This window comes from Homo sapiens, chromosome 10 (assembly GCF_000001405.40).
Source record: "Homo sapiens chromosome 10, GRCh38.p14 Primary Assembly".
NCBI lineage: Eukaryota > Metazoa > Chordata > Mammalia > Primates > Hominidae > Homo > Homo sapiens.
The window spans coordinates 3,986,837-4,004,682 of NC_000010.11; the positions used below are offsets into that span (position 1 = coordinate 3,986,837).

At 41.3% G+C, this 17,846-nt stretch overlaps 1 non-coding gene across 1 annotated transcript, besides 2 other annotated features; it reads left to right on the plus strand.

Moving 5' to 3' along the window:
- Nucleotides 1-4,323: 4,323 nt before the first annotated feature.
- Nucleotides 4,324-4,423, plus strand: MIR6078 (microRNA 6078). Its single transcript, NR_106726.1, has one exon. It is a non-coding gene; the product is annotated as a microRNA 6078 (primary transcript).
- Nucleotides 5,694-6,194: an enhancer, noted in NCBI's record as "H3K4me1 hESC enhancer chr10:4034722-4035222 (GRCh37/hg19 assembly coordinates)". NCBI's record gives its function as "activates a minimal SCP1, AML or CMV promoter by ChIP-STARR-seq in naive and primed H9 embryonic stem cells {active_cell/tissue: H9 hESC(naive and primed)}" and the evidence as "EXISTENCE:reporter gene assay evidence [ECO:0000049][PMID:30033119]".
- Nucleotides 6,195-6,695: an enhancer, noted in NCBI's record as "H3K4me1 hESC enhancer chr10:4035223-4035723 (GRCh37/hg19 assembly coordinates)". NCBI's record gives its function as "activates a minimal SCP1, AML or CMV promoter by ChIP-STARR-seq in naive and primed H9 embryonic stem cells {active_cell/tissue: H9 hESC(naive and primed)}" and the evidence as "EXISTENCE:reporter gene assay evidence [ECO:0000049][PMID:30033119]".

Here is a 17,846-nt window from a genome sequence, read left to right on the forward strand (position 1 = left end):
TAGAATATATACTGTAGTGGAATTGGTAATCTTTTATTAGCTTTCAGGTTTGTAACATGAAAAGGATGATAGCAGAATAAGACAGATTAATGTGAAAAGAGGAAGTCACCATAAAATGGCAGGCGCTTTAATAACATGAGAGTTAATGCCTGCAGAGGACTTCCTCTGTGGCAAACATTGGATGCATGTCTCATGCAACTTCCATGACTGTCCTTCATACAGACAAGGAAATTAAGGATTAGAAAGGAATTGGCTGCAACACCCGCAGTTGGCAGAACAGCGTTTACTCCGGGCCAATGTGTCTTCAAGCCGGGTGCCTGGAGTCTTACCCCTTCACTCTGGTAACCTGGAATTGATAGACAGGAACTTGCTCACCACAGCCCCAAGCCTTTTGTAACAACGTGGTGGTCTCCATTTCAGTTGGGACACACCGAAGGCATACACGGTCTGCGTGCTGAACACTGGGCAAGGTTTTCTGAGCCAAAGGCTGCCCTGCTTGGGTTGAGCTGGGATCTCTGGAGTTGAGGCTACCTCATTTCACTGAGGTAAATAATGATTGGTCTCTCTGTGTTCCACACTAACATAGTTAATTCTATTTTAGTAGGTAATTGATAATATTCTTCTGCCACTGAAATTAATTCGAACCAGATGCCCAGACTTAATATTTCCAGCATTTGCTTCAGTGGCCCTTGGTTTCAGCATAGTCATTCTCTGCCTGGAATGAGATTGGGATTGGTAGATGGTTTTAATACTCCCTCCACGTTTCAGGTCCTACTGGGCAACATTTACCTTCTGATAATTGCTTAAAAACATACAGAACTATTAAAAGCTAAGGTTTTAATGGGCATTATCTCATCCCCAAACTCTCAATGCTCTTCTAACCCACTTTCTATCTCCTACTTGTACTTTTGACCTCTGGAACAAACACGCATTCTTGTGACAAGTGTCATGAGAGTTTAATTGTGGTTTGATTGTTTATAACAACCATGTCCAGGCTCCTCGAATATGTCCTAGTTTCATGCTTTTTAACTGTTCTGTTTTTCCCTCCTTGAAATTAGCACACCTTTTTCCATGTCTATCTTAAGGTGTTAATTTGGGTTCTAATTCTAGTTGATTTGTATATTGTATGACTTAACTTTTCTGACTCTCTGTTTACATAAATGGATGAATAATAGTACCTAGTTTTTAGGCTGCTCTGAGGATGCAAAGATACAGAATATATCAAATTTCTATCACAGTGTCTGACATTTTAATAACCCATTGCATGTGATTTGGTTATGACATCCTCCTGTTGATAAGAAGGCCTCCTTACACCTCAATCTCCATGTGATCGCATGAACAATATCTTTCATTTATGCTCCTTCTTGTGGAGGAGAGATGGCTGGAATTGTTGACTAGACTAAGTGCTTTATGTATACTGTGTCATTGAATCCCCCACAATGACCACCCTGCAAGATAGGTGCTATTGTCCCTACTCATTAAATGAAGACACTGAGCCACAGTGAGGGTTAATAGCTTGCTGACAATCTCACAGTGCATATAGTGGAGCAGTGGTGAAAACGTGGGCCCTCTGATGCCAGAGCACATGTTTTCAATCGCTACCTTAGAGATGCCTCTGAGGGAATTGTATGTTTATTTTTTATATAATTGAGCCTGTTTCATTGGCCTCCAAATATGTAGGTCTGTTATGAGATGTTTAGATCCTAATTCAATGATTACATCCCTGTATCTAATAGCTCTTCTTTCTTTAAACCACGAGCAAGATTCAATCCATATGCCATACAAGTTTTGCTGTAAGTGCTAATTAGAAATTAAAAAATTTTATCGTGCTATAAATACTCAACCCTTTATTTCTCAGATTTGACACCCTAGGTGACTATATAATATTCACATATAAGGACTTACCCACATTCTCTACAACTTGTTCAATTATGTAAGAAAAACAATTGTGTAAAAAAATGTTTGGTTTTGAGACAGGGTTTTGCTCTGTCATGCAGGTTGGAGTGTGATCATTGCTCACTGCAACCTCCACATCCTGGGCTCAATTGATCCTCCTGCCTCAGCCCCCGAGTGGGTGGGACTATAGGTGGGTGCCACCACACCAGGCTAATGTGTGTATTTTTTGTAGAGATGGTACTGGCACACCATTTTAACTTTGCTAATCAGGTGAGTGTCAGTATCTATTATTATCTTTTTAATTTGGATTTTCTAGATTATTTATGATCTCCCTTTGTTGCCAAGGCTGGTCTCAAACTCTGGGCACAAGCAATCCACCTCCCCAGTCTCCTTCCAAAGTGGTAAAATTACAGGTGTGAGCCACCATGCCTGGCCAAAAAGAAACGTTAAAAAAGTAATGGAATGATAAAGAATAAATCTCAATGACAGCCTCTGCTGCCTTTGCTTCTTAGCATTAACTCCTGAGCTGCCTCTGTGGGGGCTTCCCCTTGGGCTCCCAGAGCTGCTTTGCCTGGAGGGTCAGAGAGAAGAAGCGCCTTGGACTCACTTGTGTGACAGCGTCTGAAAGCCTGACTCCCCGGCCCCTGGAAAGAGTGAACACTCAGGATTCTCCTCTGGGGCCAGACTGCAGCACCAGGGACCTTGCCTGAGATGAGGCTGTGGGTGGGCCCCTTCCTCTTCTTCCTCTTCCCTGTCAGTTTCACCTGCTTGAAGGCAAATTCTGGTCTTAATTCTAGTGAGTTCGGGTTTGCTTCTGGGGAACCAGACCTGAGACAGGAGAAAAACAAGTCCTGCTAAGTGACAGAGGCCCAGTGCCATTACACTGGGGTGGTCAGTTTTCTGGGTTCGATTTGCAGCACCTCCTGCAAGGTTGAGAGCCTTTAAACGCATTTTCTCAGGCTCTGGGTGGCTCTACACTCAGCTCCTCTTTTCTAAGATCTGAATTTTGCATGAGAGTGTAAGCCACACACTACCGATCTTTGGAAATACTCAGGATGTAAACTTCTCCTTAAAGGGGTTGTCTAACAGCTCATATTGGAGATTATTGGGAGACAGGGCGTGAGGTAGAATGGCCTTCTGGCCCTCTCCTTTCCTTCGTTCATGAGGTTGGAGCAGCTGCTTCCTAACTCTTGTAAAATGCTTTCGTGCTTGTCAACTAAATGTAAGTTACAGCAATCAGAAAGCCATCCTAAATAAATATCTAATGAGAATCTTCCATGTATAAGATTTAATGCTCTGTGCTCAATGATTCAAAGTACAATTCTGTATATTGACTATCAAAAATATCTAATGTAGAGAAGTGGCTGAAATAAGAAAATAATTAAACATATCGGACAGTCCATCAACAGCTGCCTGAAAGAGATCACTTACTTATTTCAAGAAAGAAAGAAAGTCGTTATGTTTTTGCATTGACAACTATGTTAGTCAGGATTCTCCAGAGAAACAGAACGAATATATATGTCCTATTGATTGTGTGTGTGTGTGTGTATGTATATATACACACACACAAATATACACACACATATATGGTATGGTTTGGCTGTGTCCTCACCCAAATCTCATCTTGAATTGTAGCTCCCATAATTCCCACATGTCATGGGAGGGACCAAGTGGGAGGTAATTGAATGATGGAGGCAGGCCTTGCCCATGCTGTTCTTGTGATGGTGATTAAGTCTCACAAGATCCGATGGCTTTATAAAGGGCAGGACACGCTCTCTTGCCTGCAGCCATATAGGACGTGCCTTTGCTTCTCCTTCACCTTCTGCCATGATGTGAGGCCTCCTGCAGGAGGAAGGCCAGGTGCTAAACACTCAGTTTGGGATGACACAGAAGGCTTTTGTTAAACACGAGCCGCTTCTCTGAGTGTTTTTCAGTTGGAGCTGAAGTGCTGAGTATGGCAACATTTCAAAGTGCAGCAGGGTCTGGCAGGTTGTGCAACTGTCAAGCCGCATGCACAGGTACCTAGTTTTGTTTTATGTTTAAAATCATAGCTTTTCATTGGTAAGGCTTCAATGCAATCTTTCCGAGTGCTACACAAAGATTTGTATACTTGTTAAAAATAGCAAGTTCAAGTGATTTATAAATTGTCCATTTATGACGTTGTGTGGTGTTGACCTAAAAGCATGGGTTTGTGTTTCTTACTCTACTGGGGACATCAGGGCCCCCCAGTTTTCACCAACACATCAGTCAATGTGTATTGATTACCATTCCATGTCAAACTCTATGTCAAATTAAAGAACTAGCAAACACCCTCACTGCTCTCAATGGGTGAATAATGCAATTTCTGAGACAAGACAGACACACAAAACTCTCAGTAGCACTCTAAACTATGAGTCTTTTCCTGGGAGTTCAATGAGTGCTTTGAATGCAGAGGAGAAAGAGCCACCGCCTGAGCTAGCTGTGGACAGAGGCAAAACTCTAACTTCAGCTGGTTTTGAGTGAGAAGTGGGTCTCTGTTAAAATGCTAGTCATGTAAAAGCATAGTTGCCATCTTGTCATGTTTTGTTTTAAAATGTCAGTTTATAGCCACTAAAATTTGAATCTATCAATCTGTTAAATGATGCAAAATTTCTATGATAAATTACAACCATCAACCACTATAGAGCATTTATGGACTAAACTGGATTAATTTATCTTCTACTATAGGCGCCGCACACCATCCTCAGTAAAGCTTCAGTCAATCGCTGTAAGTGACCAGGAGCCCTGATGGGAGTCACGTTCAGGTTAAGATCAAACAGAACGGCAGTGAGTGGAAGCATCATGGGAGACGATAACATCTCAGAGGTGTTGGGAGGAGGAGAAGGTCAAGCCAGGCAGTGGTGGGCCACGTCAGCATGGCCAGGCACACAGCTTCCCTTCCTCAGAAAGACACTCAGAAATACTGGGGAAGGAGCCATCTTTTCCTTTTTTTGTAATTAGGCAAAAATAGCTACAGGGAGAAATAGCTCTCATCCAAGTCAATCTCCAAGTGACTCGTTGATGACACCTGTGATACATTCCATGAAGAATCCCTGATGGTCAGGTAGCACAGGCTGGAAGGTCTGCACCTCTTCAGGGAGGTGGAGGAGCTGGTTCCGTGAAGAGCTGACGTGCAGGTTGAGAACTGAAGGACAGGTAGGAATTAGCTCAGAAAAGCAACAGCAGAATCCAGTGTGTGCAGCACAGTTGAAAGGGAAGGTGCGTGACACACGAAGGGAGTTAAAACAAAAAGATGAAAAACCAGGCCAAGGTGGTCGAACCAGGAAAAAAAAAAGAAGAAATTGCCACGTGCAGAGGCTTGACAGGGTGGAGCGAGTCCGGGGGACTCTGTGTGGACCTAGAGTGTGTGTGCATCTGGCTGCTCAGGCAGGGGATAGGAGGCAAAGGCCAGGAGTCAGAAACAAAGACAAGACAAAAAAACAACAGCTATGAAGCAAAACAGAACAAAAGTGGGACTTCTCTGTCATCAAATTTCTGTCAATTTTGATATCATCCCAGTGACCATCGGTCTCTGAGCCTCTGCTTCCTTCTTACTTGACATCCCAGTAAGATGGCTGGTGGGAAAATTCACTCATTAACTCAGTTAAAGTGAAGGACAGATATCTGTGTTTTAAAATTCCTCCACATTGGCTGGCTGGCTCTTTCTCCAGACCTTTCTGTCCCCTCCTCCCCACTCCCCTCCTCTCCTCGTCACTCCTCTCCTCCTCTCCTTTTCCCTTCCCTCCACCTTCTCCCCTCCCCTCCCCTTCCCTCATCTTCTCTCACCTCCCTTTCAAAGCTGCCCCAACTGCAAATGAATAAATCAACAACCAGCCCACCACACTCCCACACAGAACTCCTCCATCCCTCCTCCTTGTTCCACAGAGACCTGTCTCTCAGCCTGCACCCCAGGGGGACTCTTCCTTGCCTTAAGAACCTGGTGAGAAAATTCATCACTCAATACTTTACCAAAGGAAACCGAGGAAGGCTTTAGCAGGCAGGTGCAGAGGCAGCCTGGGAAACACAGGTCAGAGCCAAGGGTGGCCTGAGGTCTCTGCAGTCGGCAGGAAGGTGCAGGACGGTCACTGGCTGCCACCGGAACGCAGGCGGCCAGCAAAGGCCTCACAGGCACGGCAACACCTCTGACCCTGTTTTCTCTGCCCGGGAGTCTGTTTTTTCATCTTTTGTTTATGTGCCTGCAGCCTTTGTGTGCTTGTAGCCTCGGCAGTGTGATCAGGTTGACCTTAGAAAGAAAAATGAAAACATTCCTGGAATAAGCCGGCCAGTTACGAGGCCAACTTTCTAGCAGGGCTAAAAGTGTGCCCCAGGGCCTCTCTACCCAACCGCAGACGGCTAGTTGGATGCGTGTTCTGAGAGTCGTGGTCCTGATGGATGAGTACATCAGGTTTCTTTCTCCTGTGGGATGAGTGTTCCCAGGTCCAGGCAGTGCGGACGCATCAGACGCTGTGCGGCATTTTTACCGGAGCAGAGCGCAGGTGGCCTGCACTATGCGTTTGCTGGGGAAGGCCTGGAATCCCAGGCCAGTGTCTCAGCCACTCCCTTCATTGCCAGGAGTTGTTCTAAGCAAATCACGACTTCTATGTTTACGCCACTGAGGGAGCAGTAGAAGACAGAATGCTCGAACACGGTTCCACTTTGGAACCCGCCTCCCCTGCCATGTCGGGGATGTATTGGAAATTCATCACACAATGAAAGAACAGCGATGTGACTGCAGTGCGACACCTGCCTCTCAGGACACGGCAGACGGCGAGGTCAGCCCTGCCCAAGCTGTTTGGAATTCATTCCGCTCTGAGCTTCCTCAACTTTCACCCTGTTCTCACCTCCAGCGAAGCTGCCATTAGCTTTCCTTCTTCCCAAGCATGTTCTGTCCCTTTCTCTGGGGTTGGGAAGTAATCAGGTATTTTGGGCTTGTAAAATCTCCTGCTGGGTTGTCAGCATAGGAGCCAGAAAAATAAAAGAACATGCCGAGCAATGTGAAGAAAAAGACAAGATTTAATTACCCCTTCTGCTTGCTTATTTCAGAAGGTATTGGAAGCTAGTACCTCTGTGCATAATACGAAGCCAATTTAGTATCGTAACGTCTGCTTAAGCAAATTACAATAAGTGAAGAATATATGGCAATCAGGAATAAAATGTTCCTGGGGGCTGTCTTTGATGGACGTTTTAGAAGAATGCCACTAAAACCAAAATATATCTGAAGCCTGGTTGGCAGGCATCACGAATAATGTGGTTTGCTGGTCAGGTAAGTTCATAAATCTCCATAACCAAGATGCTCTATCCTTCCCCTTAAATTATCCCACCATAGCTATAAATCAGTAGCAACTATTGACCTGAATCAGGGAAGCACAGTTTGCAGAACCTACTTCGTTGCCAATCAAGGATGGCTGAGTCACCTTCCACACAGGGCAACAGCTTTGGGGAGCTCTTGTCTTGGACAGATCCCCATTCCTTTGGAGATGCTGTTGGTCCAGACCAGAGAAAAGTGGGTGTTTATGTAGTGTTGAAGAACACAGTAATAATTACCCTTTATTTCCTCCACACCAAGAATTCAAAAATATCTTAAATCATTTTCACTCGACATCCTCCCTGCCCCTGAACACAAAACAAAACTCTTCTAACAAAACGTAGCACTGTTTCAATGGCTAGTGTTATGGTTTGCTTCTGTGGCCCCACCCAAATTTTGTCTCAAATTGTAATCTCCACGTGTTAAAGGAGGTACCTGTAATCCTTACCTGTAGAAGGAAGGAGGTGATTGGCGGTTCCCCCATGCAGTTCTCATGATAGTGAGTGAGTTCTCATGAGATCCCTGATGGTTTTAGAAGTGTTGCAGAGTTCTTCCTTTACACACACTCTCTCTCACCATGTAAGATGCAACTGCTTCCCCTTCCACCATAATTATAAGTTTCCTGAGGCCTCTCCAGTCACGCAGAACTGCAAGTCAATTAAACATCTTTCCTTTACAAATGACCCAGTCTCGGGTATTTCTTTATAGCAGTGTGAAAACGGACTAATGCACTAGCATGAGAATAAGGACCGAGGCATATCCATTACACCGTCTAAAGGTAAAGTTTCCCCCAGAACTGTGTTCAGAACATTGCTTTTTTTGTTTCCTTTATTCCTGGTTGTTTTCTCTTTGGTCTCTAGACCCTGTAATATTTCACTGTGACTTCTATCAGTGCATTTGCAATGAAATTTTATTACAACCAAAGCATAATGTCTCCCGCCATTTGCTTCAGGAGAATTCGATTAATCATTTATTCTAAAACTGAAACTGAACATGAAACAGTGAGGATGTAGGGAAGGGATTTAGAATGAGAAGTGGCCATCGTTAAGGCCTGTGGCAGAATTGCTTCATGAAGTACACAGAATGTTTTTATTTGTATTTTTTTTTTTGTTACTTTAAGTTCTGGGATACATGTGCAGAAAGTGCAGGTTTGTTACATAGGTAAACATGTGCCATGGTGGTTTGCTTCACCTATCAACCCATCATCTAGGTTTTAAGCCCCACATGCATTAGGTATTTGTCCTAATGCTCTCCCTCCCTTTACCCCCCAGCCCCTGACAGGTCCCGGTGTATGATGTTCCCCTCCCTGTGTCCATGTGTTCTCATTGTTCAACTCCCACTTATGAGTAATAACATGCGGTATTTGGTTTTCTGTTCCTGTATTAGTTTGCTGAGGAGGATGGTTTCCAGCTTTATCCATGTCCCTGCAAAGGAAGTGAACTCATCACAGAATGTTTCTTAAAGAGCAGACTTAGAAATCAGAGAATTAGAGGAATTTAGGAGTGGGAAGGAAAAGGAATTCTCCCTAGGTACCAAATGAGAAGGGCAGAGCACGCTGGACCTGGAGCCATATTTCCCACAGTGCTAAATCCTGGATTGGGCAAAAGCAGTGGAGGAGACCTCAGGCAGAAGGTTGAAGAATGACTTAATTATAGTAAGCGGTCAGCTATAATTTGGGGACAGAACAAATGAAAACAGGTTGAAGACAGAGCCTGAAGGTTTCAGGTTAGAGATGTGTTTCAAGGCAATGTGTGGGTCGTTAGGGAGGTTGTAGAATCACATCTGACTCAATCTCTATTGGCTTCCCCCGTTTTCTGAACTGCTGTAGCACTTTCTATATGTATTGCTCTTTTTAATCATATATTCAATTTTGTCTGGCACTTAAATATTTTCGGTATGTGTTTCTCCTACTGTCATATAAAATTGGCTTGTGGCCTGGAAGAGTTATGTAATTTTTTGGACAGAGCTCAGTACCCAGTCATCCATTCCATCCTTGCTAAACCTCTGCGAAGTAAGCAGAACAGGTATTTTTATTTCCAATTTTTGGATAAAAATATATATACTGAATTGAGCCAAGTGGCCAGTAAAGAGAGAGGAGGACTTGACCAGGTCCTGGTTGCCCTAAAAAAATGCTGCATCTTCTAGTCCATGCTGCTGATCTCTTGACAAGCTTGGAGTAAATGCTTGCTGGGAATAGAATGGATCAATGCAAAAAAATTCCTACATAATACAGATTTGATGAGTGAAGACAAATTAGTTTTTTTGCTAACCCTATCGGTCTTTTAATATTTCATTTGAGATCTGAGATTTAAATATGTAATTTTTAAAATCATGCCTATTTTCTTGAGGACATCTGCCAACATTTCCTCAATTTGTAGCTCCCTTTAAAGTTCTGAAGATGGTAATTAAATATATATAATACAGAGAATAAAAATAAGAACCTAATCTGGCCCTATGAAATTAGAACTGGAAATGTTTTGTCGAGTTGATATAGCTGCCAATGAGTTATTGCTCCCTGTGGAATTTTTTAAAATTCTTTTTTAAAAATTTTAAAGTGCAATTTTAAATACCTTAGTAAATTTGCTTGTACCTCTTCCCCAGAGAGATTATAATTTAATGTAACGGCATCCACTCTCGTGACATTCTTGGGCAAAGAATATGAACGTTCTTTTTAAATATAATTGCTGTACTTTTAGGTATGAACTTTAATTCACACATTTCTTTCCCTCTAGGTTTTTTTTTTTTTATTTCAGATCCACTGCACAGTCATTTCTTCAATAACATGTACTTTTGTCATTGTCACTTTCTATTTCTTTTCTCTTAATCACTTTCGATCTTCCTTTCTTGATTCTCATCTCTGTTGTCTACCTGCTGTTGGCATCTAGACACTTCATACTGAATTCAGATTTTTCTGGCAGGTTATTCTGAGAGCTTTGCTATTTCCATAGAAACCCAACTTCAAACCAAACGTGGCTCCCAATTTTTTAATTGTTATATCCTATGAAAATCTGTTCTAATTATATTTTCATTGGCGTTCCAATTAACAACAAATATACCTGGATCAACCACATTATTCCAAGGTGAAACTACATGTTGCTGATGGCAGAGAAAAGATAAAATAAAAGGCTCCAGTTATAAGGAAAAAAGAAGACATATGCAGAAATAATTTCTGAATTTCAAATGGTGTATTTTTTTTTTTTTTTTGAGACAGAGTCTCCCTTTTTTGCCCAGGCAGCAGTGCAGTGGTGCGATCTTGGCTCACAGCAACTTCCACCTCCCAGATTCAAGCAATTCTTCTACCTCAGCCTCCTGAGCAGCTGGGACAACGGGCATGCGTCACTACGCCCGGCTAATTTTTGTATTTTTTGTAGAGACAGGTTCTTGCCATGTTGACCAGGCTGGTCTCGAACTCCTGACCTCAAGCCATCTGCCCACCTGGACCTCCCAAAGTGCTGGGATTACAAACGTGAGCCACCGCACCCAGCCAAATGGTGTAATCTTTTAAGCAATATTACATACAAGCCAGTGTCAGTGTAATAGTAGAATTATGATGTGTAGTCCAGGGAAATGGGGCTTAACCTGACTTCAATGCTATTTCATTATTATTTCTAGGCATAATTTGAAGACAATGAAGTTTGTCACCCTGTGGTTTGATTCCATTTTCACAGGCTTTCTTTTTCCATCTCATTCTGCAAACTCCTTCATATGTCCTTTGTTCTCACCCTGAAACCTGCTTTTGACAGGATATCTGTGAAGAGGACCCAGCTAATGAAACCTCTCTAATTTGTGTGCGGTCAGTGATAGTGTGCTGTCTCATTCTTCTCAGGGTCGTGAAACAGCAACATGCTTGGAGGCTTATTATAGGAAGAGTACAAATGAAAACAGATTAAAAATGTAGAAGGAAATATTTAGGTTATAGACAAAGTGCACTTCAAGGCAACAAATTTGGGTAATAATATGGATATTACCCTAGTGGATATTTAAAGCTGAAGCTGCAGATCTCACCGAAGCATCCCTCAGACATGGTGGTCATGGTGTCTATTCTCAGTGGCCATTAATTTACATTACATAGCCATCTGCCTGAAGATTTTCTGTGATATCATCTTCTAGAAGTTTTACAAGTTTTCCTTTTACATTTATGTCTATTATCCATTTTGAGTTAATTTTTGTGAATGGTGTAAGGCAGTGGTGCCCAATCTTTTGGCTTTCCTGGGCCACATTGAAAGAAGAAGAATTGCCTTGGGCCACACATAAAATACACTAACACTAAAGATAACTGATGAGCTAAAAAAAAAAACCCTCTTAATTTTTTTTTTTTTTTTTTGAGACAGAGTCTCGCTCTGTTGCCCCAGCTGGAGTTCAGTGGCATGATCTCAGCTCACTGCAACCTCCGCCTCCTGGGTTCAAGGGATTCTCCTGCCTCAGCCTCCTGAGTAGCTGGGATTACAGGCGCCCACCACCATGCCCAGCTAATTTTTGCATTTTTAGTAGAGACAGGGTTTCACCATGTTGGTCAGGCTGGTCTGGAACTCCTTACCTTGTGATCCACCCGCCTCAGCCTCCCAAAGTGCTGAGATTACAGGCGTGAGCCACCGTGCCCTGCTATAAAAATCTCTTAATGTTTTAAGAAAGTTTATGAATTCATGTTGGGCCACATTCAAAGCTGTCCTGGGCTGCATGGGGCCTGCAGGCCATGGGCTGATAGAGCTTGATGTAAGGTTGGTGTCTTGATTTGTTTTTTGAATGTGGATGTCCAGGTGTTCTGGTGTCATTTGTTGAAAAGGCCAAACTTTCTCCATTAAATTGCATTTGTTCCTTTGTGAAGGTTCAGTTGTGTGGGTGTATTTCAGGGCTCTCTCTTCTGTTCCATTAATCTAGTTGTCTGTTCTTTTTACCAATACCACACTGTCTTGATCACTGTAGTTTACAGTAAGCCTTTAACTCAGTACAGTAAGTCTTTAAGTCCTAAATATTGTTCTTCTTCAATACTGTGTTGGATATTCTGGGACTCTTGCTTTTCAATATAAACTTTAGAATCAGTTTGTTGATAGCCACAAAACAACTTGCTTGGATTTTGATAGGAATTGCATTAAATCTATCAATTAATATGGGAGGAACTGATGTCTTAACAATATTGAATATTTCTATTCATTAATATGGGATACCTTTTCCTTTATTTCACTCCTCTTTGACTACCTTCATGACAATTTATAGTTTTCTTCATTTAGATCTTATAAATATTTTGTTAGATTTATACTGAAGTATTTTTTTTTCTGGTGTTGGTAAATAGTAGCGTGGCTTTAATTTCCAATTCTAACTTTTCAGTGTTGGTATACAGAAAACAATTGATTTGATTTTTGTGTGTGTATATATATATATATATATATATATATATATATATATATATATATATATATTTCACCACTATGCCAGGCTAATTTTTGTATTTTTAGTAGAGATGGGGTTTCACCATGTTGGCTAGGCTGGTCTCAAACTCCTGACCTCAGGTGATCCACCCGCCTCAGCCTCCCAAAGTGCTGTGATTACAGGCATAAGCTACTGTGCCTAGACTGATTTTAGTATATTAATCTTGCATTCTGAAACCTTGCTGTAATCATTTATTAGTTCCACGAGGCTATTCTTATTGTTTTTGCTTTTCATTCTTTGAGATTTTTTATTGAGAAAATTGTTTCCTCTGTGAGCAAAACTATTTTATTTCTTTTTTCCAAACCTGAATATATTTTAATTCATTTTCTTGTCTTATTGCATTAGCTAGGATTTCCAGTATGATGTTAAAAAGGAGTAGTGAGCAGGGTCATTCTCGCCTTGTTCTTATCTTAGTAGGAAAGTGTTTAGTTTTATTACAAGGTTTTTAGCAGATAAAATTAATTAAGATTTATTATAAGCATTCAACTGTGCTAAGTGTTCTGGGTAATATACATTTTAGTCCTATTCTTAAACCATTTACACTTTGGCAAAAAAAATAAATAAATAAAATAGAGAATATAGCAACACATGCAATGATGTATTCTCCCTGCCCCTGCTGATACTCTTTGCTAAAACCCTATCATACTCTGATGGCAGTGATCAAAAACCCTTTGCTTTGCTCAAGCTGCCTGCTCCTCATGCCCTGTAATCCGTGAGTCTCATCACCTCAATACTTCTAAGATTTTTAACTCAATTCCTTTATCAAGTGTATCCCTAATGTTGCTGGCTTTTCTCATCTCTATTTCAGATTTCTTTTTTTTTTCTGTATCCTAATTCTCTTACTACTCACTTTCTTTTCTCTCATCTTAGAGGAAATCATCCTCCTCTTTTCTACCTATATTTTCTTTATGAAGTGTACTTCATCCTCAGAATCTTTATCCACCTATTATTCCCTTTCGTACTTTCTTTTTTCCCCATTATATCATTCCTCCCCTGTAAAAAATGAAAAAATCTTTTCCTGACTTTAGTTTTTATATCGTTCAATATAACAAGCTTTCTTCAATGTCCACCTCCACAATACATTTGGCTATTATTTTCTCACTGCAGCCACTTCTTTTATTCATAATTTGTCTCTTGATAACTAATTTTTTATCCTGTGACTCTATGAAAATCACTTATCAAATTGCACCTTCTCTTCCCCAAAGCAAGCCAGTCTCATTGTCTTTGAACTTCTGTAAATTTGACATTACTAGACATACTTTGATTCCAACATTCTTCTGGATACCTTTCCTTTTTAAGGTTTTTACTAAAATACATTTTTATGGTTCTCCTTGGCTTTTATTGCTTCCTATGGCTTTCTTTTTCCTTATTCTTAATATAGGGTTTTGCAAAATTCTGGCTTTCAGCTGCTCTTTGCTCTCCATCTCAACCTTCTTCCTTGACCTCGGGATGTCTTTCAGGCAGAAGACTTTAGTCATCTTCCCTCTGTAGACGGTTTTTTTGTTTTTTTTTTTTTGTATTTTTAGTAGAGACAGAGTTTCACCATGTTGGCCAGGCTGGTCTCGAATGCCTTACCTCAGGTGATTCGCCCTCCTCAGCCTCCCAAAGTGCTGAGATTAGAGGCGTGAGCCAGCACGACCAGCCCACAGTACCTTTGACAATTTTTAAATGCACGTTCCCAGCTCTGGGCTCTTGGACCTCAAGGTGTGCATTTCATGATCTGTTTGAGATCCACACAGTGTGACTGCTTGTACCGTAAGACTCACCACAGCCATAGCCACATTTTTCCTTCAGGGTCTCCTCCTCATCCCCCGCCCCCAATTTTCTTGCTCCTTCTAATAGTTCCTCCATTCCCTAGAATACAGGCTTAAGACTTTTATTCACCTTCGAATTCGTTCTTCCCAGTGACTTGCTGCCATGGTGAAATACTTCAGAACCTCTAATATCCCTGCAGCCTTCACATTAAAGGTAGTTTGTCTCTGATCTTTAAAACACCACAATACTAGTATTGCACTCCATATGACTTTTTCAGTAGTTTTGAAATAGAGATCTCCATTGTTATGTTACAAACTACTCTAAAATACGCACAGATTCTTAATCCTTTTTTATAACTTCAGTGTTCATTACCGAAAGCGTATGGCAGGTAATCGAAAAATATTCGCTAAATTAAATGGAATTAAATGGCCTTTGATTTCCTTTTCTTAATCATTTCCTTTTGTAACTAGAATCTCATATTAAAAGAAGAGAGCAAAATTTTTGCATTTTATCTGATTTTATATTCTCTCAAGTCTTAATTAAGGAAGCAAAATATCTTGTAATCAATTAGGAAATTAACAAAAGCTGGCAACTTGCCACTATATTTGGCAGTTTGAACTATAAGACAAAAAATTAAAAAAAAGGAAAAAGAAACAGCTCTACTATTATTAAAGCCTAAATAATGTGTTAGGGACTTAATTTAATCATGTATGTATTGTAGTGTTGCTCTGGTTGAAAAGGAAGTTTTACTCGACATTTCCTCTTTTAGTCTCCCTTGACTTTCGGCATAGATGTCTTTGGAGCTGAGCATTTTCATGCTTGTTTTCAGTGCAGTCCAATCATTGCTGAAGTAATTAGGTATAAAAAGTATTACTTCCTATTTCTTTGTGTTGGGAATAATGGATATGCTAATTACCCTGATCTGGTCTGTATGTATGATATACATTGAAAGAGCACTGTGGACCCCAATAACGTGGACAATGATTATGTGTCAATTAAAAACATTTTGAAAGTAATGTGTTTTTAAAATTATGGCATTAATATTTTTGCTCTGTGTTATCGTTGGATAAAACAACAAGATTTACAAATGTCTGTGATGGCCTAGTGTCTCGTCCAAACATTCTGGAAGACACGTTGCCCAGGGTGCTGGCTCTGCCTGGGCAGCCTGAGGACTTGTCACAGTGTCTCTGTGGGGTCAGCAGCTCAGACCCGGCCATGCATTCCTGTCCAACAGCCAAGAAAAGCTACCCAGAACCACAGATGGCCAATGCTGGCTTCCAGGGTGCCAGCCCACTGCTGAGAGAGGAGCCCTTGGGAACAAAGTTTTATAAAAATGAGCTACCTGTGAGGAGGCCCTCCATGGCTCCCACATCCAAGTTCCAAACTGGTAGCTCTCAAGCCAGGCTCAGATGTGGGTTTTGGTCTCAAATTGTTGGCTCCAAGAGCACTTTTCATATCATCGTCCCAAGCAGAATTTTATTATATTTCATCTTATATTTACTTATTTATATAGTCATCTTTATTTTAGGGAAATTAGAAGCCAAGTTCCTGGTTGAGATGGAGGATTAGTAGGATGGAGTTTTGAATGAGGGAATGGAAAAGCCTCTTTGAAGTGCGGTGGAGAAGCGGAGGCCATCCATGGGTGCTGGGAGCCAGCTGTGCTCGCAGTGCTGGGAGTTCAGCTGAGCGGAGAAGAAATTGACTGTGGGGAAGTTAGTGTGGTCTGGGCCACATGAATCTTCCTATAAGAACAAGCAAAACGGAACAGTCATTGGATTTGCCTAGGTCCGGGGCTTCTGTGTAGACGTAAATTTATACGACATTCACAGGGAGGTATTTCCTTTCTTCCTATTTTCCCATCCCACTAGTAGAAGTTATATAACCCACGGTACAGTGCTACTGGTGGGTCTGCAGAGAAACGTCATCTCTGTGTCCTGGTAACATTTTAAAAAAGAAGAGAGTATAAATGTAAAACCTTTCATTGTGCCCCCTATGTAAAGCCATGTAACCATGATTGTTATTTTTTTATATAACTTTGAGCGTAAAGCCATTTAATTTCTTGGGTTTTATGACATGAACAAAGCAGTACTCAAAATTCCCAGGCAGAATTTCAAACATAAGCTACATACCAACATTTAAAAAACCATGAAATTTCACATAAAACTATGGATTTCTGGCTTCTTTTGAGAAACTTTTGTATCTGGCACACACACTGGGGGGCTGCGTGTGGAGAGGGTTTAACCCCTCCTCACTGGACTGTCACTCACAGCCATCCTCATCACTGAGCTGAGAACAAGCTCTCCCCCCTTCATTGCACACACCGTCCACCTAAACCCATTGTCTGCATGTTCCTGTTGGCACCAAGGGTTGTGACGCCTGGTTTATGTCCTAGAAATCACCTGGGGGTTACCATGATATCTCAAGTAAAGTCTCAGTAATCAGAAGGATGGGTTTATTTTTAGGATGAGAAAAAACAATTAAATGGGGTAAACCAACTGCAGCTCATTTGGAAGAGACACCACTTATATGTCTGACTCAAAATGCAACAAATAGTTCTTACGCACAGCACATATTTACCACCAGATTTTCTCAGTTTGATATTCTTTATCTTCGAAAATATTGCAAACAGACAGTATGTCATCCCTGGGGAATAAAGATGAATCAGGTAGGGTTTCTGACTTGACTTTCATCAGATTCACTAACGACGATTTTGCATTGGAACCCTTGCTCCTGCATGGACTGTGGGAGGTCTGTTAGATTTTAGGAAAATTCTCCTCATTTCTTTGTGCATCATTTATTTTTTCCTCACCTGCAAAGCAGGAGCACATGTCTTACCAAGTGGTAGTAAGGATTGAAGATCATGTATATGTGAAGAGTCACACAGAGTCAGTGCCAAAGAAAAAACTGGTCATTTCTGCCCCTCCTGAATATTATTGTTGAGATAATTCCTGGAAAGCAGGTAATGGATCTTTATGGGAGGGGGCACTGATACATTTAGATCACCTCAAATTATTTTGAAATCTAAACACAGTGAGTAAAAGAGCACTGGTGTACAAACATATGAATTTAAAAAATACATAGATAAAGACGGTTTCACGGGGGACTGGGTTTAGGAAGATTACGGTAAAAGCAAATCAAGTGACCACAGACTTGAGCCACGGGGTGGGGGCCTGAGTGTCCTGGGGCCTCCTGGATGTGAGCTGCATCCTCTTCCCAGAATCTGGGGCAGGAATGTGTCCTCGGAAAGACTGTTGAATGAGAAGGCTGAAGGGTAGCTGGGAGTGGGGGCCAGAGAACACATGGAAATGAAGATCTCAGTGAAAAGTGTCTTTCTTCACATTTACTTTTTAAGGCTGACCTTGATTATCTTCCAGAGATATTGGCTAAAACCTTGTGATGGAGAAATATGGAATTCTTCTTACACTGGTTGCTGTACTCTTACAAA